Source organism: Homo sapiens, chromosome 3, assembly GCF_000001405.40.
Source record: "Homo sapiens chromosome 3, GRCh38.p14 Primary Assembly".
Lineage (NCBI taxonomy): Eukaryota > Metazoa > Chordata > Mammalia > Primates > Hominidae > Homo > Homo sapiens.
In genome coordinates this window covers 194,520,451-194,546,408 of record NC_000003.12, presented here as the reverse complement: position 1 = coordinate 194,546,408, position 25,958 = coordinate 194,520,451, and the positions used below count along the sequence as shown (strand labels likewise).

Here is a 25,958-nt window from a genome sequence, read left to right as displayed (position 1 = left end):
CTGGGTATGGGGAGGGAGACGATTGGGAGGGAGAGAGAGAAAGCACTCTCCAGTGTGTCATAAGAACACTAATCCTACCAGGTCAGGGCCCCACCATCAGAACTTCCTTTAACCTTGATTCATTCCTGTGATACAATAAGAAATATGTTATTTAGCCTCTGCCGTTGGTTCCTGACACAGAGCTCCTAAATCCCTTGGGATTTCCTGGGTGGTAGGAGCATCTTTTGTTCTAATGAGGTGAATCCTGGTGGTCTCCGGGACAGCCTCAGGATGGGGGCTCATCTCCAGAAAGTCCAGGCCATGATTGGAAGCTTGAACTTTCAGTCCCATCCCCCATCCTCTGAGGAGTGGGGAGGGGCTGGCGACTGAGTTCATAAATAATTATGCATAGGTGATGAAGTCTCCACAAAAAAATCTCTAAACTACAGGGTTCAGAGAGCTTCAGAGTTGTTGAGTCAGTCCACGTGGTGGGAGGGTGGCATACTCCAGCTCCATGGGGACAGAAGCTCCTGCACTCAGGACCCTCAGCACCTCGCTCTACGTACCTCTTCATTGGGCTGTTCCTCTGAATCTGCTGTGGCCTGACTGCGTTTCCCCAAAATTCATATGTTGAAATTCTAACACCCAAGATGATGGTATTAGGAGGTAGGGCCTTTGGGAGGTGATGAGGTCATCAAGGTGGAGCCCTCAGGAAAGGGATTAGTGTCTTTATTAAAGAGAGCCTGGCCAGGCACAGTGGCTCACGCCTGGAATCCCAGCACTTTGAGAGGCCGAGGCGGGTGGATCACTTGAGGTCAGGAGTTCAAGACCAGCATGGCCAACATGGCGAAACCCCATCTCTACAAAAAATACACAAATTAGCTGGGTGTGGTGGCAGGCGCCTGTAATCCCAGATACTCCGGAGGCTGAGGCAGGAGAATCACTTGAACCTGGGAGGCAGAGGTTGCAGTGAGCTGAGATCGTGGCCCACTGCATTCCAGCCTGGGCAACAGAGCAAGACTGTGTCTCAAAAAAAAAAAAAAAAAATAAAAAGAGAGAGAGAGACCCTGGAGAGCTCTTTTGTCCCTGTGTCACCATGTAAGGACACAGTAAAAGAAGGACCATCTATAAGGAAGCGGATCCTCACTAGACACTGACTCCGCTGGCACCCTTATCTTGGACTTCCCAGCCTCCTGGACTGTAAGAAATCAATTTTTTTTTGTTTATTAGCCACCCATTTTATGCAGAGCAGCCCAAACAGACTGTCAGTATCTTTTTTTTATACAGAGAGAGACAGGGTCTCACTATGTTGCCCAGGCTGGTCTCGAACTCCTGGGCTCAAGCAATCCTCCCACCTTGGCCTCCCAAAGTGCTGGGATTATAGGCATGAACCACCACTCCCAGTCTGTCAGTATCCTCTTTTATGTCCTTTATAGTAAACTGGCCAATGTGAAGCAAAGTGTTTCCCTGAGTTCTATCAGCCATTCTAGCAAACTATCGAACCTGCGGGATAGCGTGTGGGAACCTTCAACTTTGTAGCCACGTTAGGCAGAAGTATGGGACCCTGGTGTCTTTGTCCATTTGTGTTGCTATAAACGAATACCTGAGGCTGGTGATTTATAAAGAAAAGAGACTCATTTTTCCCTTGGTTCTGCAGGCTGTACAAGAAGCCCGGTTCTAGAAACCGCTCAGCTTCTGGTGAGGGCCTCATGGTGTTTCCACTCATGGTGGAAGGTGATGGGGAGCCTGAGTGTGCAGATCAGATGGTAAGAGAGAAAGCAAGCCGGGGGTGGCATGAGGGGGTTGGGGGGCAGATATGCCAGACTCTTTAACAATCAGGTCTTGCAGGAACTAGGGCAAGAGCTCACTCATGACCTCAAGGATGGTACCAAGCCATTCATGAGGGATCCTCCCCAATCACCCAAACACCTCCCACTAGGCCCCATTTTCAATGTTGGAGATCAAATTTCAACATGAGATTTGGAGGGGACAAATATCCAAACTCTATCACCTGCGGACCCATTATTTGCGACTAGCATCTGAAGTAGGGGTGGTCTTGCGGGACTGAGCCCTTTCACCTGTGGGTCTGATCCTGACTGGGTAGTTAGTGTGAGAACTGAATTGAGTCATCTGACATTCAGTTGGAATCTGGAGAATTGGTTCTTGGTGTGGAAGGAACCCACACACTTGGTGTCAGAAGTGCTGCAAGTAGAGAAACCATTTTCTTCTACTTCTTAGACGCCCATCTCCAGAAACAGCCATACTGAGGTTATGGCTTCAACATATGAGTTTTGGGGGGACACAAGCATTCAGTCCAAATATCATACGATCCAGCAATTGTGCTTCTTGGTATTTACCCAAAAGAATTAAAAACATATGTCCATACGAAAATCTACATATGGACGTTTTATTCGTAAATGGCAAAACTTCAAAGCAACCAAGATGTCCTTCAAGTAGATGAATGGATAAATAAACTGTGGTATATCCAGACAATGGAATCTTGTTGCACTAAAATAAAATGAGCTATCAAGCCATGAAAGGATGTAAAGAAATCTTAAATGCAATTACTAAGTGAGGGAAGCCAGTCTGAAAAGGCTACATACTGTACGAGTCAACCATATGATATTCTGCAGAAGGTAAAACCGTGGAGATAGTGAAAGCTGAGTGGCTGCCGGTGCTCAGTGGGGGAGGAGGGATGAAGAGGGGGAGCACAGTGGATTTTTTGGGCAGTGAAACGATTCTGTACAATCCTATAATGGTGGCTGTGTGTCATTATATATTTGTCAAAACTCACAGAATGTACAACACCAGGCCGGGTGCAGCAGCTCACGTCTGTAATCCCAGCACTTTGGGAGGCCAGGGCGGGCGGATCACAAGGTCAGGAGTTCTAGATCAGCCTGGCCAATATGGTGAAACCCCATCTCTACTAAAAATACTTAAATTAGCCAGGCATGGTGGCGGGTGCCTGTAGTCCCAACTACTCAGGAGGCTGAAGCAGGAGAATTGCTTGAACCCTGGAGGTGGAGGTTGCAGTGAGCCAAGATCATGCCACTGCACTCCAGCCTGGGCAACAGAGTGAGACTCTGTCTCAAAAAAAAAAAAAAAAAAAAGTACAACGCCAAGAGTGAATGTTAATGTAAACTATGAACTTTGGGTGATAATGATCAGTGGAGGCTCATTGAGCAAATGTACCATTGTGGTGGAGGATGTTGACAGCAGGTAAGGTTGTGCCTGTGGTGGGGGGCAGGTGGCACGTGGGAACTCTGTACTCTCCACTCAATTTTACTGTGAACCTAAAACTGCTCTAAAAAGTAAAGTGTATTTTTAAAGTGTCTATCTCCTTGGGTTTCCATGAGAGTTAAGTGATTTTATTCGCCCAGGCTGGAGTGCGGTGGCACGGTCTTGGCTCACTGCAACCTCCGCCTCCCGGGTTCAAGCGATTCTCCTGCCTCAGCCTCCCGAGTAGCTGGGATTATAGGTGCCCGCCACCCTGCCCAGCTAATTTTTTGTATCTTTAGTAGAGACGGGGTTTCACCATGTTAGCCAGGCTGGTCTTGAACTCCTGACCTCAGGTGATCTGCCTGCCGCGGCCTCCCAAAGTGCTGGGATTACAGGTGTGAGCCACTGCACCTGGCCTAAGTGATTTTATTTCTGTAGAATTGTTGGAAGAACACTCGGCACAGAGTGAGCATTCGATACATTTTAGCTAAAATTCAGTAAAATCAACACATATGCATAAACCAGAAGAGATTTTTTAAAATGCAAATGACAGCAGATTCTCCATCTGGCTGGAAGAGGCCAGGTATTTCCTATCCCAAACACAGAGAACCTGGCTCTGAGTGGAAAAAACACAAATTGTGATTTCCTTTGCTCTCACACCACAACAATCAACACGGAAGACTTCTGTGACCAAATGTGTGGGGGTTTCAAGCAACCAATTCTGCAGCTGATACCAGCTGGGTGTCCTCCAGTTCAGTTCTGACACTGTCTTTGGAGATCTCATCAGATTTCAGATTGGGGGTTAGTCTCCAAGGCTGCCCCCACTTCAGACAGTAGTCACAAGTCCAGGCCTCTGGAATTTCTGAGCAACTGGCTTCAAGTTGGGCAGAACCCTCTCTTTGGGTTTGATTAATATGCTGGAGTGGCTCACAGAACTCAGGGAAACCCTTATGTACATTTACCAGTTTACTGTATAGAACATTACAAAGGATACAGATGAAAAGATGCATGAGGCCGGGCGTGGTAGCTCACGCCTGTAATCCCAGCATTTTGAGAGGCCAAGGCGGGTGGATTACCTGAGGTCGGGAGTTCAAGACCAGCCTGGCCAACATGGTGAAACCCCGTCTCTACTAAAAACACAAAAATTAGCTGGGTGTGGTAGCGGGCACCTGTAATCCCAGCTACTCAGGAGGCTGAGGCAGGAGAATCGCTTGAACCCGGAAGGTGGAGGTTGCAGTGAGCTGAGATCACACCATTGCACCCCAGCCCGGGCAACGAGAGTAAAACTCTGTCTCAAAAAAAAAAAAAAAATGCCTGGGGTGAGGCCGGGTGGGGGCATGGAGATTCCATGCTGTCTCTGAGGGCCACCGTCCAACAGCCTCCATGTGTTCAGCTATCCGGAAACTCTCTGAGCCCTGTTTTCTTGGCCCTTAATGGAGGCTTCACTGGATGGGCATGACTGACAACTCTGTAGAAATGTGACTGGGTGAAAAGGGTATGACCTGATAGTCATAAGCTGAGTGGGGAAACCCCGCAAGGCCTGTGTGTTCAGATCCCTCGTGGCCTCCGTGCAGCACTCCTTCCCGCAAGGTACGGGGCAGGACCTCTTCTGAAACCAGGGTCTTGTGACCTACAGTCAAACAAGAGAGGCCAGAGAATTTCTTTATGACCAGCTCCGAGACAGAAATGTGGGGAAAGATTTCCACCTTGGGAAGAGAAAGGAAGGCAGGAGAAAGTCAGAGAGTGAGACCAGGCCTGGTGGCTCACACCTGCAATCCCAGCACTTTGGGAGGCCGAGACAATAGGACCACTTGAGACGAGGGGTTCGAGACCAGCCTGGGCAACTCAACAAAACTGCCTCTCTGCAGAAAATACAAAAAAATATTAGCCAGGCGTGGTGGCACACACCTGTAGTCCCAGCTACTCAGGAGGCTACCGCTGAGCCTGGGGAGGGCAAGGGGGCAGTGAGCCATGATTATGCCACTGCACTCCAGCCTGGAGAACAGAGTGAGACCCTGTCTCAAAAAAAAAAAAAAAAAAAAAGTCAGAGAGATTTTGTTTTCTGAGGCCTGCTTCTGAGGCCTAAAATGCCCCTATGTTACAGCAAAATACTGCAACAAGGGTTATGGGAGTTACGAACCAAGAACCATAGATGAAAACCTCTCTTTCTCTTTCTCCCTCTCAAATAATATCACAAATACTTAGGAACCGGTAAGCAAGGGATTCGATTCCAGATTTAAACCTGGAAATGAGTGACATTGCTTAAGGATAACGTGCAGAGTGAGAAGAGAATTAGGCCCAGGACTGGGTCTTATGATCCCCCAAATTTAATAGTCAGCTAAAGAAATAGGCAAAAGAAACTGAAAAGTGGTCAGAGAGGAATCAGAGAGTTTGGCATCTCAAAGCCAATAAGAGAGTGTTTCAGGAAGGAGGAAGTGGCTGGCTGCGCTTTGTGTTTTGCTGAGAAGTCAGAGCGAGCAGTGTTCCTCACGCAGCAGAGGTCCCTGGCCAACTTAACAAATCCAGCTCTGGCAGAGTGGGAGTGGAGGAGCCAGTGGAGGGAGCTGGCTGGAGGTGGCTGAGAAATGACTGAAAGTCAGGAATGAAGACAAGCAGTGTGAACAACTCATTCAAGACATTTGGAAAGGGAGCAAAAGATACACGAGCAACCAGAGGGGAACTTGGGAGCAACAAAGACATCAGTTTGTTTTGTGTTACGATGGGGATGGCTGGAATGTGTGTAGTTTAAACATCGATGAGAAAGGATGCTCCCTCCGTCAACACGAGGTGCAGATGTGGCACAGGAGGGTGAGGCAATTCTCACAGGAGATTTCTATTTTTTACTTTTGTAGGGATAGGGTCTTGCTATGTTGACCTGGCTGGTCTCAAACTCCTGGCCTCAAGTGATCCTCCTATCTTGGCCTCCCAAAGTGCTGGGATTGCAGGCATGAGCCACCCTGGCCAGACACCAACAGACTTCTATTTTCTTTCTTTCTTTTTTTTTTGAGACGGAGTCTCACTCTGTTGCCCAAGCTGGAGTGCACCGCTGCGATCTCGGCTCATTGCAACCTCTGCCTCCCAAGTTCAAGCAATTCTCTAGCCTCAGCCTTCCGAGTAGCTGGGATTGCAGGTGCCTGCCACCATGCCCAGCTAATTTTTTATTTTTAGGAGAGACGGGGTTTCACCATGTTGGCCAGGCTGGTCTTGAACTCCTGACGTCAGGTGATCCACCTGCCTTGGCTTCCCAAAGTGCTGGGATTACAGGCATGAGTTACCGCACCCAGTCTGAAACTTCTATTTTCTTTATGAAGTTGGGAATCAGATCATTTGCTAAGAGAGAGGAGAATCGGGTGCAGATTTGGAGATCTGAGCAGAATGGAGAAGGTTTGAAACTGTCCTTATGGAGAGGACAGCCATAGACTAAAACATAGAGAGGGATTTCTGGGTCTTTCTACATGCCACATTCCTTCTGCGAGTTCTTCCTTGCCTCTAATTTCACAGCTAGGATACTGAGGATCAGAGAGGGGAAGTGATTTGTTCAAAGTCACACAGCAAGTGAGTGTTGAAGCTTTGACTAGAAGTCAGCAGTTGAGGCCTTTGGGTGAGGACACCTCCACCCCAGGGTCAGCGGGTACTTTTGCAGGTGTCTTTTCTTCACTACATGCAAGATATCAGGTGTTTTTCAAAGCATGATCTCCTGGGTCCTATTAAATGATCTATCACCCCCTCACACAAAGCCTTACACATAGATTGACTCAAGCAATGTTGTTCCAGTGAATGAATGATTAGAAATCAGGTTGTCCTTCTGCCTCAGTCACTACCCTTCTTCCCATCTCACCTCGATTTCAGAATAAGCCAGGGGGAGGACAGAAATGCCGAATCCCCTTGGCATTTAAGGTAACAGACTTCAATTTCTGCAATATCTCCTTTCCTAAATCGGGACATGGATAACATAGTCATTTATATACACCACACCTTGTTCTGAAAAGGCTTTAGTACCTCTAGGGTATATCAATTGCTAAAAATAATAATAATAATGCATTTCTCTTTATTGTGGGTGTCCTAATACTCCACAGAACTGGAATTGGCTATTACAGACTCCACTAATTAATTCATGGTATATCCTCAGGGGCTTGGGAGCTCATTATGTAAATAAATGCAAAATAGATGGCAAATTAGAATTTCTACCCCACAAACTTGTCACATTACAAAGATAAAATCAGAAAAGAGTAATCACTATTTATCCACTCAACAGGCCAGTTGAGCTAATAAGTTTTTTTTGCAGTTACATAGACATAAACCTCATGTGAATGCCAATTAGAAGACTCAAACCTTGCTATGGCAGGACGAAGGCCCTTGACCATGGGATCTGCAATGACCAGAGATGCAGAGCGTAACAGACACAATAATACACATGTGGCAGTTGGGAGTCCTTCATCCTCGGCTTGGTTCCATCACTGTCTTTCATTCTTTTTTTTTTTTTTTTGAGACAGTCTCACTCTGTCACCCAGGCTGGAGTGCAGTGGCACAATCTTGACTGACTGCAACCTCCACCTCCCAGGTTCAAGGATTCTCCTGCCTCAGCCTCCCAATTAGCTGGGACTACAGGTGTGTGCCACCACACCAGGCTAATTTTTGTATCTCTCTTTTTTGCTGTTGTTGTTGTTGAGACGGAGTTTCAGTCTTGTCACCCAGGCTGGAGTGCAATGGCATGATCTCGACTCACCGCAGCCTCCGCCTCCCAGGTTCAAGCGATTCTCCTGCTTCAGCCTCCCGAGTAGCTGGGATTACAGGCATGCACCAGCACGCCTGGCTAATTTTGTATTTTTAGTAGAGACAAGGTTTCTCTACGTTGGTCAGGCTAGTCTCGAACTCCTGACCTCAGGTGATCCGCCCGCCTCGGCCTCCCAAAGTGCGGGGATTACAGGTGTGAGCTACCGCGCCCGGCCAATTTTTGTATCTCTAGTAGAGACAGGGTTTCACCATACTAGCCAGGCTGGTCTCGGAATCCTGACCTTAAGTGATCTGCCTGCCACAGCCTCCCAGAGTGCTGGGATTACAGGCGTGAGCCACCACACCCGACCCCGTCACTGTCTTTCTAAGCCACTTCTCTTCTTGATCTGCTTCTTGATGGACTAAACAAGTGCTCTCGCAGCCTTGACTCTGAGCTTTTGGAATCTAAACTATTTCTGGCTGTGGCCCAGGCCTTACACAGCTTTGGTGGCTCCCCAGGCAAAGCAACCACCTGCTTGTCCCGAAGGCAGTCAGCATATATTTGTGAGCAGGAAGAGCATGGTCATAACTGGTCAAATTACTCCCCTGTGACTGGCAAGGGCTTTGGATTTTGTCCTCACCGCTTCCTCCAGTGTTTGAAATTCTGACTGCTGCACTCTTTGCTGGGTAAACTAATGAGTGTATTTGGCTGGGTGGCATTCACTTTCTCCATCACTTTCTACAAGCAGAGCAGAACCTTACTCGGAAAAGCATTTCTAAGAAGCTTCATATCTAAGCCTGTCTATCGGCTGGGCTGGGGGATCGATCATATATGTGAAGATAAGGCAAAGACCACGAAGTAGCCCATGTGGGGGAAAAGAAAGTCTGCCTTCTGACTTGGGCTTCTATATTTCTTCTTCCATTTCCTGAGCCCTTTTTATGAGCATGGCACTGTGCCAGGGCTGGCAGCCAGTCCTGGCCTGGGTAAATGACAGCATGAGGAGGCTGGTAGGAAGGTAGGTGTGCTGTATCCTTGGTGGAAGGGCGATTAACCTCTGGGCTAAGCCTCAGGGTCAGGCCACCAGGCCCCAGGAAGGGAGCTGTGCCTCCAGAGCAGGCATGCATGTTCTGTCTGGAACACACGAGTATGCAAGTTGCCAGAAAGGTCCCTGGACTCTGTTGTTGTAGGTAGGTTCTTTGCTAGGCAATGGGAATTTAGAGATGGATAAAGCATGATCTCAGCCCTCAAGGAGCTCACAGTGGCTGCTCATTCATAGGCATTCCCTCTAAGCATGAGAAGTCCCAGTGGAGTGGCTAAAATCAAGTTTCTGGACATGTGGAAGTAAGGACCAAATTCTGAATGCTCTCTGGGCCAGAAAAATGCTGTTCTACCAGGAGGGCCTGAAAAAGGCAGCTGGACTTTACCCCTTCCCAGTGCAAACAGTGGACTCTATTGCAGTAACCACTATCCTCTCTAACTAGCACAGGTTTATTAGAATGTTAGAAAATCATTATTTCCTTTTATACTTAACTTGCTGTTGACAGTGACTCTGCACATATTCTCTGGCTGCAGCCCTGAACCAAGAGAGGAAACAGTAGCCTTCAGGCACCTCTCCAGGCTTTAAAATTATAAAATGTATCATATTTAGAGAAAAGTATGTGTACAATCTAAAGATTAAATAACGAGGCCGGGTGCAGTGGCTCACACCTGTCATCTCAGCACTTTGGGAGGCTGAGGTGGAAAGATGGCTTAAAATCAGGAGTTTGAGACCAGCCTGGGCACCTTAATGAGACCACCAGCTCTACACACACACACACACACACACACACACACACACAACAACAACAACAATAACAACAACAACAAAACCAAACTAACAAACAAAACCATAAAATAAAACTAGCAGAGTGCAGTGGCACACACCTGTAGTCCCAGCTACTCAGGAGGCTAAGGCGGGAAGAGCTCAAGAGGCAGCAGTGAGTTGTGATCACGCCACTGCACTCCAGCCTGGGCAACAGAACAAGACCCTCTTTCAAAATAATAAAATAATAGGCCAGGCACAGTGGCTCACGCCTGTAATCCCAGGATTTTGGGAGGCCAAGGCAGGCAGATTACCTGAGGTCAGGAGTTTGAGACCAGCCTGGCCAACATGGTGAAACCCCATCTCTACTAAAAATACAAAAATCAGCCGGGTGTGGTGGCTCACTCCTGTAATCCCAGCTACTCGGGAGGCTGAGGTAGGAGAATTGCTTGAGCCTGGGAGATGGAGGTTGCAGTGAGCCGAGATCGTGCCACTGCACTCCAGCCTGGCCAACAGAGCGAGACTCTGTCTCAAAATAATAATAATAATAATGACAAACACCTATCACCCACTAGTACCTTGAGGCTCAGCTGTGTGCCTCCCTGCAATCTCTGCTTCCCTGGGCACCACATCCTCCCCAGGTACTACCTTTAATGTCAGTCGTTACTGTTTGCTTTATAGTTTTGCCCTCTATATGACATATCCCTAAACAATCTACTGGTTGGATTTGAATAACTGAGTGGCTAGCACAAAGCTAGCTGTGTAAGGAAAGAGCACTGTTGCCAGTATTACATGAGATTTCCTGGGAAAATAAGCTGAATAGAGTTGCTGGGTCATGGAAAACAAGCTGAATAGAGTTGCTGGGTTATAATGTAATTTCAACCTTCCTGAGTCTTTAAAAGCCTCTTCTGGAGAAGTCAGAGGACAAAATCATGATCAAAGAGCAAGGCATGGCGGCATGTGCCTGTAGTCCTAGCTACTCAGGAGGCTGAAATGGGAGGATCACTTGAACCCAGGAGTTCTGGTCCAGTCTGGGCAACATAGTGAGACCCCATTTCAAAACAAAAACAAGGCTGGGCACAGTGGCTCACGCCTGTAAGCCTTTGAGAGGCCGAGGCAGATGGATCACCTGAGGTCAGGAGTTTGAGACCAGCCTGGCTAACATGGTGAAACCCCGTTTCTACTAAAAATACAAAAAATTAGCCAGCTGTGGTGGCGTGTGTCTGTAATCCCAGCTACTCGGGAGGCTGAGGCAAGAGAATTGCTTGAACCCAGGAGGCGGAGGTTGGGGTGAGCAGAGATTGGCCATTGCACTCCAGCTTGAGCAACAAGAGCGGAACTCCGTCTCAAAAACGAAACAAAACAAGAAAACAAACCAGAACAAAACATGCATCTATCTTCCTAATTGGAGGGGAGAAAGCCAAAAAAAAAGAAAAAAACAATCGTACACAGGCGCAGATCTAGGATTTGTGGGGTCTGAAGATTATATAATTTGGAGGACCCTTTTGTAAGATTATAAGTTCAAAATTACAAATACTAAATTAGGTACAGGGCCTTGGGGAGGGCATATATGAATAAAGGGCTTCCGTTTCATTAGTTTCAGGTGGATAAGTCTCTAACCATGAGGGTTCACCTGTGTCTGGGCATCTGGCAGATCTGCAGGATGGGCCAGGCACTGAAGACCCTGTAGAAATAGGGTCAGAGGGGGAAGGATGCTTTGTATTTTCTGCTTTTAAGCTCATTAGCCTACATTCAGCTCTCAAGAGTAGGCCTAAAGCACAACACTTCAGAAACGGGCTGTTTTATGAAATGAATACGCTCAGCCGATTCTACCAGCAGAGTGTAGAGAGGTGAGTGGGAATTTCCATAATATGTAATGAAACTGTGACAAATATGGATAAATCGTCCTCAAGTTTGAACAAGGTATGATATCAGTGAGGATTTTTGGGTGATGACAGTTCTCAACCTGTTTCTTGAGTCACAGTTTTCCACATGGAAATGGTTGTTCTCCACATGTTGTACACAGCGATTATCATGGCATTTCCCCTTACTATCCTCCCAGGGAATCTCCTTGCTTCTCTCCTATTTTAGATTCTCCTCCTGGATTTACTTGGTCTTTGCGTGGAGTATCTTCTCCGGTAGCTTATAGAGAAGGAGTGCATGATAGATAAAAGTTTTTGAAATCTTACATACTTGAACATATTTTTTTCTGCTCTCATACTCAATTGATAGTATGGCTGGGTATAGAATTCCAGATTGCAAGTTACATTTCTCAGAATTTTAAAGGCACTGCTTCATTGTGCTTTGGCTTCTAGTGTTGCTGATGCGAAGTCCAAATCCATTTTGCTTCCTAAACTTTGTATATAGCCAATTTTTTCATCTCTAGAGGCAATGAAATCTTCTCTTCCTCCCTAAAATGATGCTGGCTACTTATTGGCTCTTAAATATCACAGTTCATTCTATTGTTGAATTATGACATTGATTGCTTTGTCCCTTCTTTTCTCTTTTTTCTTTCTGGAAACACCGGTATTCAGATATAAGATCCCCTGAACTAGTACTCTTAACTTCCTAACCTTTTGTCTACTATTTTATATCCCTTTATCTTTTTGCTATATTTCCTGGGAAATTTCCCTAATGTTGTATTTCAGCTATTATGTATAATTATTTTTTTCTGCTTAAGCAGATCATTTTTCCTTATATCCTTATCATTTTTTCCTTTCTATGGAAGTATTGTATGCACATTGTTTAAAAATTATACAGCACTCATTTCAATAGCACATTTGATAAAACTGGAATGAGACAGGCCAGGAGTGGTGGCTCATGCCTGTAATCCCAGCACTCTGGGAGGCCGAGGAGGGCAGATCACAAAGTCAGGAGATTGAGACCATCCTGGCTAACATGGTGAAACCCTGTCTCTACTAAAAATAAAAAAAAATTAAAAAAAAAATTATCCCGGCGTGGTGGCGGGCACCTGTAGTCCCAGCTAATTGGGAGGCTGAGGCAGGAGAATGGTGTGAACCCAGGAGGTGGAGCTTGCAGTGAGCCAAGATCATGCCACTGCACTCCAGCCTGGGCAACTAAGCGAGACTCCGTCTCAAAAAAAAAAAAAAAAAAAAAAACTGGAATGAGACAGAAAATTAGCATGGTCCCTGCGCAAGGATGACATGCAAATTTGCAAGGGTTCCATATTTTTAAAAAATCATTACAGAATTCTTTACATAGAAAATTCCATCTAGTAGATCATTGAACAAAAGAGAGACCAGAAATAGATCTACACATACACATGTATGACCTAAACCTGTGGATATGAACCACATTTTATATTTGCTTTTGACAAAGATTTTATATAGCAAGAAATGTGGCTCCTATAGAGAAGCCTGGCCTTTTCCCCATCTCCTGGGAGGTAATCTCTAAACTCTTGGAATTTCCTGAGTGTTAAGGGTGTCTTTGTTATTTGATGGGCCCTTGGAACTACACCTGATATTTTATGCTATAACATGTTGGGGGTGGCCATGGCAGGAAGACCAACTATCTGATAAGACGGTTGGAGCTGGGGGACACATGGTATCAGCTCAACCTCTAGGGAACAGGGGGCGGGAGATTGAGTACAACCACATGGGCTCAACCAATCGTGTTTGTAAGAAAACCTCAATAAAATCTCTGGGCACCAGAGCTCAGGTAAGTTTCCCTGGTTGGGAATACTCTGAACAGACTATCACACATCAGTGCTGGTAGGAAAACACTTTCCTGAAGATAGTGGCAGTTTCATGTTTGCAACCCTCCCAGACTTCACCCTACGTGTCTCTTCCTTTGTCTGGTTCTAATTTATATCCCATTGCTATAATAAAGCTGCAGTGGTACACACAGCACTTTCCTGAGTTCTGTGAGTCATTCTAGCAAAGTACCAAATCTGAGAGTGGTTTTAGGAAGCCGCAAACTCGCAGTTGGTGTCTGAAGTCAGGGCAATCTTATAGGGATTGTTCCGTCTGACTGTGTGGTTTGGGTAACTCCTTACAGATACCAAGGCAATTCACTGAGAAAATGGACTCTTTTGCACATGTCATACTGTAATTATTGATATCCATATGTAAAGAAATGAGCCTCAACCCTTACCTCATAGTATCTGCAAAAACTAACTTGAAATGAAAAGTAGACCGGAATGTAAGAACTAGAACTAGAACTTTTCTAGAATAAAATACAGAAGAACGTCTTTGTGACCCTGGGTTGGGCATATATTAATATATTAAATAGACCACAAAAAGGAAAATATGATGACTAGGTCTTCATAAAAATTTTAAAAATTTGCTCTTCAAATAATACTGTTAAGAAAATGAAAAGGCAAGTCTGGGGTAAAATATCGGCAAAATATGTATCTGTCAAAGTATTTGTATCAAGAATATAAAAAGAATTATTTGGCGGGTGTGGTACCTCATGCTTGTAATCCTAGCACTTTGGGAGGCTGAGGCAGGAGGATCACTTGGATAGTCATTCTAGCAAAGTACCAAACCTGAGGGTGGTTTCAGGAAACCCCCAAATTTGCACACTTACAAACTTGTAAAAAAATCCAATTAGAAAACGGGTAAAAGACATGAACAGACATTTCCTGAAGAAGCTATACAGATGGCAAATAAGCACATGAAAAGAGTTCAACATCATTAGCCATTAGGGAAATACAAAATAAAGCCACAGTGAAATATTATTTTGCATTTTGCATGTAGCATAATAATATTTTTTATTTTAGGCTGGGCACGGTGGCTCATGCCTGTAATCCCAGCACTTTCGGAGGCTGAGGTAGGCAGATCACCTGAGGTCAGGAGTTCGAGACCAGCCTGGCCAACATGGTGAAACCCCGTCTGTACTAGAAATACCAAAAAAAAAAAAAAAAGTTAAAAAGATATTTTTTATTTTTGCCTAGCAGAATGGCTAAAATGAAAAATAATGACAACACCAAATGCTGGCAAAGATGTAGAGAAACTGGGCCACAAAAATTGCTGGTAGGAATGTGAAATGATACAACCACTCTGGGAAAAGGTTTAGCAGTTTTTAAAAATAAAACCGTGCGGGCTGGGCGTGATGGCTCACACCTGTAATCCCAGCACTTTGGGAGGCTGAAGCGGGTGGATCACGAGGTCAGGAGATCGAGACCATCCCGGCTAACACAATGAAACCCTGTCTCTACTAAAAGTACAAAAAAATTAGCCAGGCGTGGTGGCGCGCGCCTGTAGTCCCATCTACTCGGGAGGCTGAGGTAGGAGAATTGCCTGAACCCAGGAGGCGGAGGTTGCAGTGAGCCGAGATCTCGCCACTGCACTCCAGCTTGGGTGACAGAGGGAGAATCCGTCTCAATAAATAAATAAATAAATAAATAAATAAATAAATAAAACTGCATGAAACTACCATACAACCCACAGTTGCTCTCCTGGGCATTTATCTCAGAGAAAAGAAAACTTACATTCACACCAATTGTTCATAGCGACTTTATTCATAATAGCCAAAAACCAAGTCATGGTATATGCACAGGACGGAACACTACTCAGCAATAAACAGGAGCAAGCTATTGGTGTGTGTGTGTGTGTGTGTGTGTGTGTGTATATGTAATGAATCTCATATGTAATGAATCCCTAGGGAATTAGGCTGAGTGAAAATAGCCAATCTTTACAAATTGTATATTGTATATTGTATGCTTACATTTATCTATATTACACTCTTGAAATGACAAAATTATGGAGAAGAGACTAATAGTTGCCAGGAGCTGGGGGCGGGGAAAGAGGTGAGTGTGGCTATAAAAGGGCAACACAAGGGGTCCCAGTGATGATGGAACTGCTCTGTGTCTTGACTTCATCAATGTCAACAGCCTGGTTGTGATATGTTACTATACTTTACAAGATGTTACCACTGGGGGAAGCTGGATCAAGGGATCTCTCTTTTTTTCTTTTCTTCCATAAGTAAGGAAACAATCTCTGTATTATTTCTTATAATGTGAATCTATAATTATTTCAAAATAAAAAGTTAAATTAAATAAATCTGTACACAAATGTTTATAGTGGTTTTATTCATACTCATTAAAAACTGGAATCAATCCAAATGCCCAAGAACTGGTAAATGAATATATAAAATGTAGTAAAACCTTACAGTGAAATGCTACTCAGCAATAATAAAGAATGAACCACTGATATGTAAAACACGAATGAATCTCAAAAGCTTCATGCTATGTGAAAGGAGTCAGACTCAAGACTATCTACTATATAATTCCATTTATGTGAAGTGCTAAAAAAAAGTCCAAAATCTTAGTTATAAAAAGCAGATTAGTGGTTGCCAGGAGGCAGAGGGTAGGGGTGTAGAATGACTGAAAAATGTTTCAAGGTAATTTTTTGGGGGTAATGAAAATATCCTATCAATTTCATGATTGTGGTAGTGACTATATGATGGTATATTTGTTAAAACTCATTTATTGTGCACTTAACATTGGTGAATTTTATTGCATTTAAATTGTACCTCAATAAAGTTGACCCCAAAATTGGGCTAATAAATTTAGACTATTTTGCGACTTGCTTTTTCATTTAACTATATGTTGTGGACTTCTGGCTTCCAGACAGAGAGCTTTACCTCCTTTTTAATAGTTCCATAGTCTTTCATTGTATGGATGCAGCACAATCCCACAATTAATTTAATTAATCTTTCCTTGATGAGCATTTCTGCTGTTTCCAATTTTTTATTCTTTTTTAAATTTATTTATTTTTTTTGAGACGGAGTCTCGCTCTGTCACCCAACCTAGAGTGCAGTGACATGATCTTGGCTCACCGCAACCTCTGCCTCACAGGTTCAAGTGATTCTTCTGTCTTAGCCTCCCGAGTGGCTGAGATTACAGGTGTGCGCCACCATGCCCACCTAATTTTTGTATTTTTAGTAGAGACGCGGTTTCACCATGTTGGCCAGGTTGGTTTCAAACTCCTGACCTCAGGTGATCCACCCACCTCAGCCTCTCAAAATTTTTTATTCTTACAAGTAATGTGATGGTTAACCTTTTCATGTATCTTTGTATACCAGAGAAATTGTTTTTATTGAATAGACTTCTAAAAGTGATATTTCTCGGTTTAAGGATATATGTAATTAAAATTTTTGGCCGGGTGTGGTGGCTCACGCCTGTATTCCCAGCACTCTGGGAGGCTGAGGCGGGCAGATCACCTGAGGTCAGATGTTGGAGACCAGCCTGGCCAAGATGGTGAAACCCCATCGCTACTAAAAAAATACAAAAATTAGCTGGGCATGGTGGCATGTGCCTGTAATCCCAGCTATGCAGGAGGCTGAGACAGGAGAATCGCTTGAACCTGGGAGGCAGAGGCTGCAGTGACCAAGATTGCGCCACTGCACTCCAGCCTGGGTGACAAAGCAAGACTCTGTCTCCAATAAATAAATAAATAAATAAATAAATAAATAACATTTTCGTGTGAAGCACCAAAATGCCTGACAAAATAAGGTTGTGTCAACTTGCACTGTGATCAATAGTGAATGAGTCCTGTGGCTATTTCTAAGGCATTCTTTCTAACCTTATTTACTTGTTCCTTTTCCCACAGCCTTTTCATCCAGTTGACGTTTTTCTTTTCACAGCTCTCTGTAGGATTTCTGTAGCTCCAAACCTTGACTGTTGATGCTTTGTTAGGGCCTGTAGAATGACCTCGTTATTTGAGGATCATTCGATCAAAAAGGAGCACATATGATGGTGGAGAGACAGACATGAAAAGCAATTACTATATAGCATGAAAAATGACAAGAGACTTGTATATTACATATACTGATAATAATGATGAAAGAGAAGATGATGTTGTTGCTGATAATAGCTAAAAATTATTTAGCACTTACTATATGCCAGGAAGAAGTCAAAGAACTGTATAGACATTAATTCATTTCATTCCCACAACAACCCTCGGAGGTAGAAATTATTACAATTTTCCCCATTTGGCCGAGCGCAGTGGCTCATGCCTGTAATCCCAGTACTTTGGGAGGCCAAGGCAGGCAGATCACTTGAGGTCAGGAGTTCGAGATCAGCCTGGCCAACATGGTGGAATCCTATCTCTACTAAAAATACAAAAAAATTAGCAGCGTGTGGTGGTGTGCACTTGTAATTCCAGCTGCTCGGGAGGGAGGCAGGAGAATTGCTTGAGCCCGGGGAGGCAGAGGTTGCAGTGAGCCAAAATCGTACCACTGCACTCCAGCCTGGGTGACAGAGCAAGACCGTCTCATAAAACAAACAAACAAACAAAAATTGCACCATTATACAAACCCCTTGGCTGGGCATTGAAAAATGAGTAGGAGTTAATTAGGTGAAGAAAGGGCATGGATTAGGCCACGCGGTGGCTCATGCCTTTAATCCCAGCACTTTGGGAGACCGAGGTGGGTGGATCACTTGAGGCCAGGAGTTGAAGACCAGCCTGGCCAACACGGTGAAACCCCATATCTACTAAAAATACAAAAATTAGCCAGACCTGATTGCAGATACTTGTAATCCCACAGCTACTCAGGTGGCTGAGGCACGAAGATCACTTGAACCCGGGAGGCAGAGGTTGCAGTGAGCTGTGATGGCACCATTGCACTCCATCCTGGGCAATAGAGTAAGACTCTCAAAAGAAAGAGAAGGGCGGGGGTAGGGGTGTGGAGAGAGAGGGAAGGAAGGCGGGGGGAGAGGGAAAGAATGGAAGCAAGGAAGGAAAGAAGGAAGGAAGAAAAGAACAAAAGAAGGAAAGAACAGAAGAAAGAAAGAAAAAGAAAGAAAGAAAGAGAAAGAAAGAGAAAAGAAAGAAGGAAGAAAGGAAGAGAAGGGGAGGGGAGGGGAGGGGAAGGGAGGGAAGGGAAGGAGGAAGGAAGGAAGGGCATGGATTAAATGGAATCCTAGGAAGAATGAAAAAATGAAAAATGTTTAGTGTGTACAGGCTGGGCATAATGGCTCACACCTGTAATCCCAGAACTTTGAGAGGCCGAGGTGGGTGGATCACTTGAGGTCAGGGTTCGAGACCAGCCTGGCCAACATGGTGAAACCCCATCTCTACTAAAAATACAAAAATTAGTCAGGCATGGTGGTACACACCTGTAGTCCCAGCTACTTGGGAGGCTGAGGCAGGAGAATAGCTTGAACCCAGGAGGCAGGGGTTGCAATGAGCCGAAATGGCGTCAGTGCACTTGGCCTCCAAAAAAAAAAAAAAAAGGAAGAAAAAAAACGGAAGAAAAGTGTGTACAAAGGCACACTTTGTATGATAAAACAAAGTGCATTCAGATGTCCTGTGAGTAATTTCAGATGGCTGACATCCAGAGGGAACTAGGGGACAGGAGAAGAAGAAGCTGGAGCAAGCTCATGAGTAAGTGGACGTGAATGTTTCTCATTTCCTCTTGCTAAGTGCTTTCTCACACACTACGCATTTTGCTGGCGCAATCTTACTAATTTGTACTTTCTGATGAAGTCCAGGGGAAGACTTCTCGTTAGGAAGTAATTCCCAGATTGAGATGCAAATGTTGAGAAGAGTCAACCAGACAGAAGAGGAGATGAGTGTTCCGGCAGAGGAAGCTGTGTGAGGTGTCATGGCTGCAATTTTTCTTTCTTTCTTTCTTTCTTTCTTTCTTTCTTTCTTTCTTTCTTTCTTTCTTTCTTTCTTTCTTTCTTTCTTCTTTTCTTTCTTTCTCTTTCTTTCTTTCTCTTTCTTTCTTTTTTTCTTTCTTTCTTCCTTCCTTCCTTCCTTCCTTCTTTCTTTCCTTTCTTTCTTTCTTTTTTTTTTTTTTTGAGACAGGGTCACTGCCCTGTCACCCAAGCTAGAGTGCAGTAGGGCGATCTGGGCTCACTGCAACCCCCACCTCCTGGGTTCAAGCGATTCTCCTGCCTCAGCCTCCCGAGAAGCTGGGATTACAGGCGTGCACCACCACAACTGGCTAATTTTTGTATTTTAGTAGAGATGGGGTTTCACCGTGTTGGTCAGGCTGGTCTGGAACTACTGACCTCAGGTGATCCGCCCGCTTCGGCCTCCCAAAGTGCTGGGATTACAGGTGTGATGAGCCACTGTGCTTGGCCCATGGAATTTCTAAGGAACTGGCTGGTATTGAGGATGGCTAGGTATAAAATGTAAAGGGGGAGGAGACACAAATGAGGCCAAATAGGGTGGCAAAGACCAATCCATGTAGGCCACATTAAGGAGTTCAAACATTATGGTGGTTATAAAACCAATCAATGAAAAAGAAATGACCAAATATCCCCTCTAGGCAGGCCATGCTCCGGGGGCAAAGAAGATACAATGATGCGCAATATGATCCTAGCCTTCCAGAGGGCAAAGAAGATACAATGATGCGCAATATGATCCTAGCCTTCCAGAGGGCAAAGAAGATACAATGATGTGCAATATGAGCCTAGCCTTCGAGAAGCATACAGACTAGCTGGGAAGGTAAAACATGAGCAAACATAAGGAAGGTGATCAATGGTTACTAGCCACATATAACAAGAGATAAATGTGAAATGTTGGAGTTTACAAGAGAGAAAGACAACTGGTTGGGTAAGAGGCAGGGACAGTGGTAGGGAGAAGGGACAGGAGTGGGGCCTTAAAGAATGGGTACACTAGGCCAGGCACAGTGGTTCACGCCTATAATCCCAGCACTTTGGGAGGCCGAGGCAGGTGGATCACCTGAGGTCAGGAGTTTCAGACTGGCCTGACCAACATGGAGAAACTCCATCTCTACTAAAAAAACAAAAGTTAGCCAGGCGTGGTGGTGCATGCCTGTAATCCCAGCTACTCGGGAGGCTGAGGCAGGAGAATTGTTTGAACCTGGGAGGCGGAGGTTGTGGTGAGCTGAGATCGCGCCACTGCACTCCAGCCTGGGTGACAGAGTGAGATTCCGTCTCAAAAAAAAAAAAAAAAAAAGAAAAAGAAAAAGAAAAGAAAGAGTTCTCAGTGAACACTTAGTGTTTCTCATTATTTTGCACCTCTTCTATTGAATGTAGTCATTCTCCTTTGTTAGGTCAGGAACCCATGAGAGCATCTGACTGAAAAATCACAGACCATCACCCTATCCAAAAATGCATATATGGGCCAGGGGTGGTGGCTCATGCCTGTAATCCCAACACTTTGGGAGGCCAAGGCAGGCAGATCACTTGAGGTCAGGAGTTTGAGACCAGCCTGCCAACGTGGTGAAACCCCATCTCTGCCAAAAATATAAAAAATTAGCCGGGTGTGGTGGCACACACCTGTAATCCCATCTACTCAGGAGGCTGACATAGGAGAATCGCTTGAACCTGGGAGGTGGAGGTTGCAGTGAGCTGAGATCATGCCACTGCACTCCAGCCTGGGTAGCAGAGCAAGACTCTGTCTCAAAAAAAAATGTATATAGGTACACATGTATATGTACCATTTTGCAACATCAGGATGCTGAAACTTCATAGGTGGCTGAAACTTGCAGTCTTCAGGTTGAGAATTCCTGTCCCTCTGTGTCCAGCAGACAAGTGCTACCTGAAGGCCATGACGAATTGAGACAAAATTCTAACACTGCTACGTTATTGAGAGAAAGGATGAGAAGGTATGAAACAAATTTTAATGATGAATTTTTGTGGATTTTTGAAATGCATAAATGGGATGATTAATAATAACAAAAAAGCTCTGTTTATATCATCATAAAACACACTATAAATCTACGGGATTCAGTCTCCACTTGTATATCATCTGACACAGAGCTGAAGGTGGAGGAGAAAGGTTAACCCTTCTCATTCCCTTCCCCACCCCACATACAGTTGGCCTTTTCTGGTCAGGTTTCCGAGGCAGTAAGCATTTTTTTGAGCGCCTACAATGTGCCAGACACTGTTCTGGGCACCTGGGTAGAAAGAAAGATCTTGAAGACTCTTGCCCTGTAGGGAAGTTTATAGCTTGGGGAACAGTGGAGGAAGAACAGAAAAAAAATCACACTAATATTTAATTACTTAAAAAAATTGTTTTTTCAAGGCTGGGTGCGGTGGCTCATGCCTGTAATCCCAGCGCTTTGGGAGGCCAAGGCTGGCAGATCACCTGAGGTCAGGAGTTTGAGACCAGCCTGGCCAACGTGGTGAAACCCCGTCTCTACTAAAAATACAAAAATCAGCCGGGCATGGTCGCATGCACCTGTAATTCCAGATACTCGGGAGGCTGAGATAGGAGAATCGCTTGAACCCAGGAGGTGGAGCTTGCAGTGAGCCGAGTTTGCGCCACGTCACTCCAGCCTGGGTGACAGAGCAAGACTCTGTCTCAAAAAAAAAAAAAGTTTTTAAAACAGAGGCAGGGTCTTGCTATGTCGCCCAGACTGGTCGCCAACTCCTGGACTCGAGTGATCCTCCCGCCTTGGCCTCCCAAAGTGCTGGGATTACAGGCCTGAGCCACTGTGCCTGGTTCAAATCACACCAATAAAAGGGGTCAAAGGATGTGTTCAAATAGACTTGTGGAAAAGCTGAGGCAAAAAGAGGAGGTACTAATTTTGCCTGGAGGCAGAACTAGAAAAGAGCCCTGAAAAATGGGGAGGAGGGGCAAGATTCAGGAAGTATTCCAGGCGGGGAAGCTTCTTTTTCCCCTTTTAGCCATAGGAAGATAGAATTCCTGGGTCCCTCTTCCTGCCTCCACTAGTCTTGTCACCTGAGTTCCATACCAGCTATTTCAAAAAGAGAAAAGGCCCAAGGGTGTACAACCTTCCCTCCAGCAATAAGTAAAGGTGGTTACTATGTGCGAGGAGCTCTGCCAAGCATTGCCCAACTGTTACCTTTAATTCATACAACGGAACGGTGGTGTGTACTGTCACCATTTTCCTGAGAAAATTGGGTTTCAGAGCTAGAACTTGTCTCTTGTCACACAGTTATGGAGTGGCTAAGCCAGAACTGAAGCCGAGTCGACCTGACTTCAAAATTCACCTTCTGGCCAGGCATGGCGGCTCACACCTGTAATCCATCCCAGCACTTTGGGTGGCCTAGGCAGGGGAATCACTTGAGTCCAGGAGTTTGAGACTAGACCGGGCAACATGGCGAGACCCTGTCTCTACAAAAAAATGGAAAACTTAGCTGGGCATGGTAGCGCGAACCTGTAGTCCCAGCTATTCAGGAGTTGGGAAGATCTCTTGAGCCTGGGAGGTTGAGGCTGCAGTAAGCTGAGATGGCACCGTTGCACTGCAGCCCAGGTAGTCTGGGCACCACAGCAAGACCCTGTGTCCAAAAAAAAAGAGAGAGAAAGTCTTTATTTTGTTTGTTTAGCTTTTCTGTGGCTTCAGTCTTTAGTTTCCTTTTTGTTTATTTATTTATTTATTTATTTCACTATGGAAAATTTCTAACATAAAAGGAGACAGAATGGTATCATAAACTTCCACGATTCTATCACCTAGGTTCAATAATTAAGAATTCGGCCAGGCGCAGTGGCTCACACCTGTAATCCCTGCACTTTGGGAGGCCAAGGTGGGCAGATCACCTGAGGTCAGGAGTTCGAGACCAGCTTGGCCAACATGGTGAAACCCCGTCTCTACTAAAAACAAAAAATTAGCCAGGTGTGGTAGCACACGCCTGTAGTCCCAGCTACTTGGGAGGGTGAGGCAGGAGAATTGCTTGAGCCCGGGAGGCAGAGGTTGCAGTGAGCCGAGATCGCACCACTGCACCCCAGCCTGGGTGACAGAGCGAGATTCCATCTCAAAAAAAAAAAAAAAAAAAAAAAAGAATTCATGGCTAATCTTATTTTATGACTAATCCCTTCCTGGATTATTCTGAAGCAAATCATATCATGGCATCATTTTCACCCATAGACTTCAGTATGCCTCTTGGATCCCTTTTACTTGATAAGTTCCTCCTGCTTGTAATGTATTTGTTGAAGAAGCTGGGTCATTTATCTCATGGAATTTCTCACCATCTGAGTTTTGGCGACTGCATTCAGCAGTATCATTTAACACGTTCCCTGTCCTTGGCATTTCCTGTAAACTAGTAGTTGGATTTAGAGTAGTGACCAGACAGGTTAGTGATTTTTGGCAAGACTACTTCATGACTGTTTCTCATCGGGAGGCACTCATGTATTTGTCTTTTGACCGTCATTGATGATCAAAGTCCAGGCCTGTTAATTTACTAAAGATGGCAAAATGGTGATATTGTAATCCTTCTAGTCTTTCTCTGTTTAATAGCTGTAATACATCCAAAAAAGGTTTCCCTGATCGTCTATGCAGTTAACATAAGCTATATTTGTCACTGGAAAGGTAATATAAATGCTTCTCTCTCTTTATTTGCCAATTTTCAAAATAACAAATGGATCCCTAGCACCCACCAAAAGTGACCAATAGATTTAATTTTTAAAAAGCATGAATTCATGGTTTTAAACATTTGATGAGCTTCAATTCATCACAGTTATAATTCTTATTGATGCTCAGATTATCTTATTCTTTGGTTAGTGGGGGCCTCTTCAAGTTGACTGAGTCTGTTTTTTTGTTTTTGTTTTTGTTTTTTTTTTAAGGGAGGGGGTTACTATGTTGCCCAGTCTGGACTGGAACTCCTGGGCTCAAGCCATCCTCCAGCCTCATGCTCCTGCCTCATCCTCCTGAGTAGCTAGGACTATAGGCAACTAAGTCTTTGTGATATTTTCTTTTTTTTAAACAGGGTATCGTTCTGTCACACAGGCTGGAATGCAGTGGTGCAATCATGGCTCAAGGGACCCTCAAACTCCTGGTATCAAGCGATCCTCCTGCCTCAGGCTGCAGAGTAGCTGAGACCATAGGTGCATGTTACCATGCCTGGTTAATTTTTCAATTTTTTGTAGAAATGGGGGTCTCACTATATTTCAGACTGGTTTCAGACTCCTGGGCTCAAGCAATCTGCCCTCCTTAGCCTCCCAAAGTGCTGGGATTATAGGCATGAGCCACTGCAATAATTTTGGTGATTGCAACCAGCAGTATGATTTAACATGTTCTCTGTCCTTGACATTTCCTGTAAACTAGAAGTTGGATTTAGAGTAGTTGATCAGATTTAGGTTAGGGATTTTGGCAAGACTACTTCATGACTAATGTTTTTCATCAGGAGGCACATAATATCTGGTATTTGCCTTGTGAAATCACCCTATTGTTCTTGATAAATGCTTGATTATCAGGTGTATAATATGATGTTCCAGGCTCATCTTGTACATTTCTTTCCCAGGAGCCCAGATCTGGAATCAGCCATTTTTCTAAGGAGCCCTGCTTTCTTTTAGTAAATGGCATTTAGAGATCATATTCTGTGTGCAAGAAATGCTTGCTTTTGAATTGATGATGGTTTCTAGAAAGAATTTTTTACAAGCAAATACTTTATGGATTCTTACTAATAGTTCTATTTCAAATTTAGGTAAGACTAAAGTGTTTCTACTTAACTTTATTGATCTTATATCCATACCTGGGATGTAAAACATCCCACTTTTCAAAACAACATAATTACTCATTGCTTTATCCTATAATACATGCAAAACAGTCTTACCAACTGTATTAGTCCATTTTCATGCTGCTGATAAAGACATATGCAAGACTGGAAAGAAAAAAAGGTTTAATGAACTTACAGTCCCACATGGCTGGGACGGCCTCACAATCATTGTGGAAGGCAAGGAGGAGTAAGTCACATCTTACATGAATGGCAGCAGGCAAGAGAGACAGCTTGTACAGGGAAACTCCCACTTTTAAAACGATCAGCTCTTGTGAGACTCATTTACCATCATGAGAACCGCACAGGAAAGACCTGCCCCCATAATTCGATCACCTCCCACTGGGTTCCTCCAATGACACACAGGAGTTGTGGGAGTTACAATTCAAAATGAGATTTCGGTGGGGACACAGCCAAACCATATCATCCCGCCTCTGGCCCCTCCCAAATCTCATGTTCTCACGTTTCAAAACCAGTCATGCCTTCCCAACAGTCTCCCAAAGTCTTAACTCATTTCAGCATTAACTCAAAAGTCCACAGTCCAAAGTCTCATCTGAGACAAGGCACATTCCTTTCGCCTAGGAGCTTGTAAGATCAAAAGCAAGTTAGTTACTTCCCAGATACAATGGGGGTACAGGTATCGGGTAAATACAGCCATTCCAAATGGGAGAAATTGGCCAAAACAAAGGCGCTCTGGTCCCCATACAAATCAGAAATCCAGCAGGGCAGTTAAGTCTTAAATCTCCAAAATGATCTCCTTTGACTCCATGTCTCGCATCCGGGTCACGCTGATGCAAGAAGTGGGTTCCCATGGTCTTGGGCAGCTCAGCCCCTGTGGCTTTGCAGGG

At 44.6% G+C, this 25,958-nt stretch overlaps 1 pseudogene, besides 6 other annotated features; it reads left to right on the top strand.

Annotated features, from left to right (window-relative positions):
• Nucleotides 4,691-4,740: an enhancer, noted in NCBI's record as "active region_21027". NCBI's record gives its function as "activates an Ori minimal core promoter by ATAC-STARR-seq in GM12878 lymphoblastoid cells {active_cell/tissue: GM12878}" and the evidence as "EXISTENCE:reporter gene assay evidence [ECO:0000049][PMID:35858748]".
• Nucleotides 9,095-9,389: an enhancer, noted in NCBI's record as "tiled region #5224; HepG2 Activating DNase unmatched - State 1:Tss". NCBI's record gives its function as "activates a minimal TATA promoter and a strong SV40 promoter by Sharpr-MPRA in HepG2 cells {active_cell/tissue: HepG2}" and the evidence as "EXISTENCE:reporter gene assay evidence [ECO:0000049][PMID:27701403]".
• Nucleotides 9,095-9,409: a biological region, named in NCBI's record as "Sharpr-MPRA regulatory regions 5224 and 9858".
• Nucleotides 9,115-9,409: an enhancer, noted in NCBI's record as "tiled region #9858; HepG2 Activating DNase matched - State 1:Tss". NCBI's record gives its function as "activates a minimal TATA promoter and a strong SV40 promoter by Sharpr-MPRA in HepG2 cells {active_cell/tissue: HepG2}" and the evidence as "EXISTENCE:reporter gene assay evidence [ECO:0000049][PMID:27701403]".
• Nucleotides 9,115-9,409: a silencer, noted in NCBI's record as "tiled region #9858; K562 Repressive DNase unmatched - State 9:DNaseU". NCBI's record gives its function as "represses a minimal TATA promoter and a strong SV40 promoter by Sharpr-MPRA in K562 cells {active_cell/tissue: K562}" and the evidence as "EXISTENCE:reporter gene assay evidence [ECO:0000049][PMID:27701403]".
• Nucleotides 12,826-12,906, top strand: RNU6-1101P (RNA, U6 small nuclear 1101, pseudogene; annotated as a pseudogene).
• Nucleotides 25,335-25,629: an enhancer, noted in NCBI's record as "tiled region #12272; K562 Activating DNase matched - State 5:Enh". NCBI's record gives its function as "activates a minimal TATA promoter and a strong SV40 promoter by Sharpr-MPRA in K562 cells {active_cell/tissue: K562}" and the evidence as "EXISTENCE:reporter gene assay evidence [ECO:0000049][PMID:27701403]".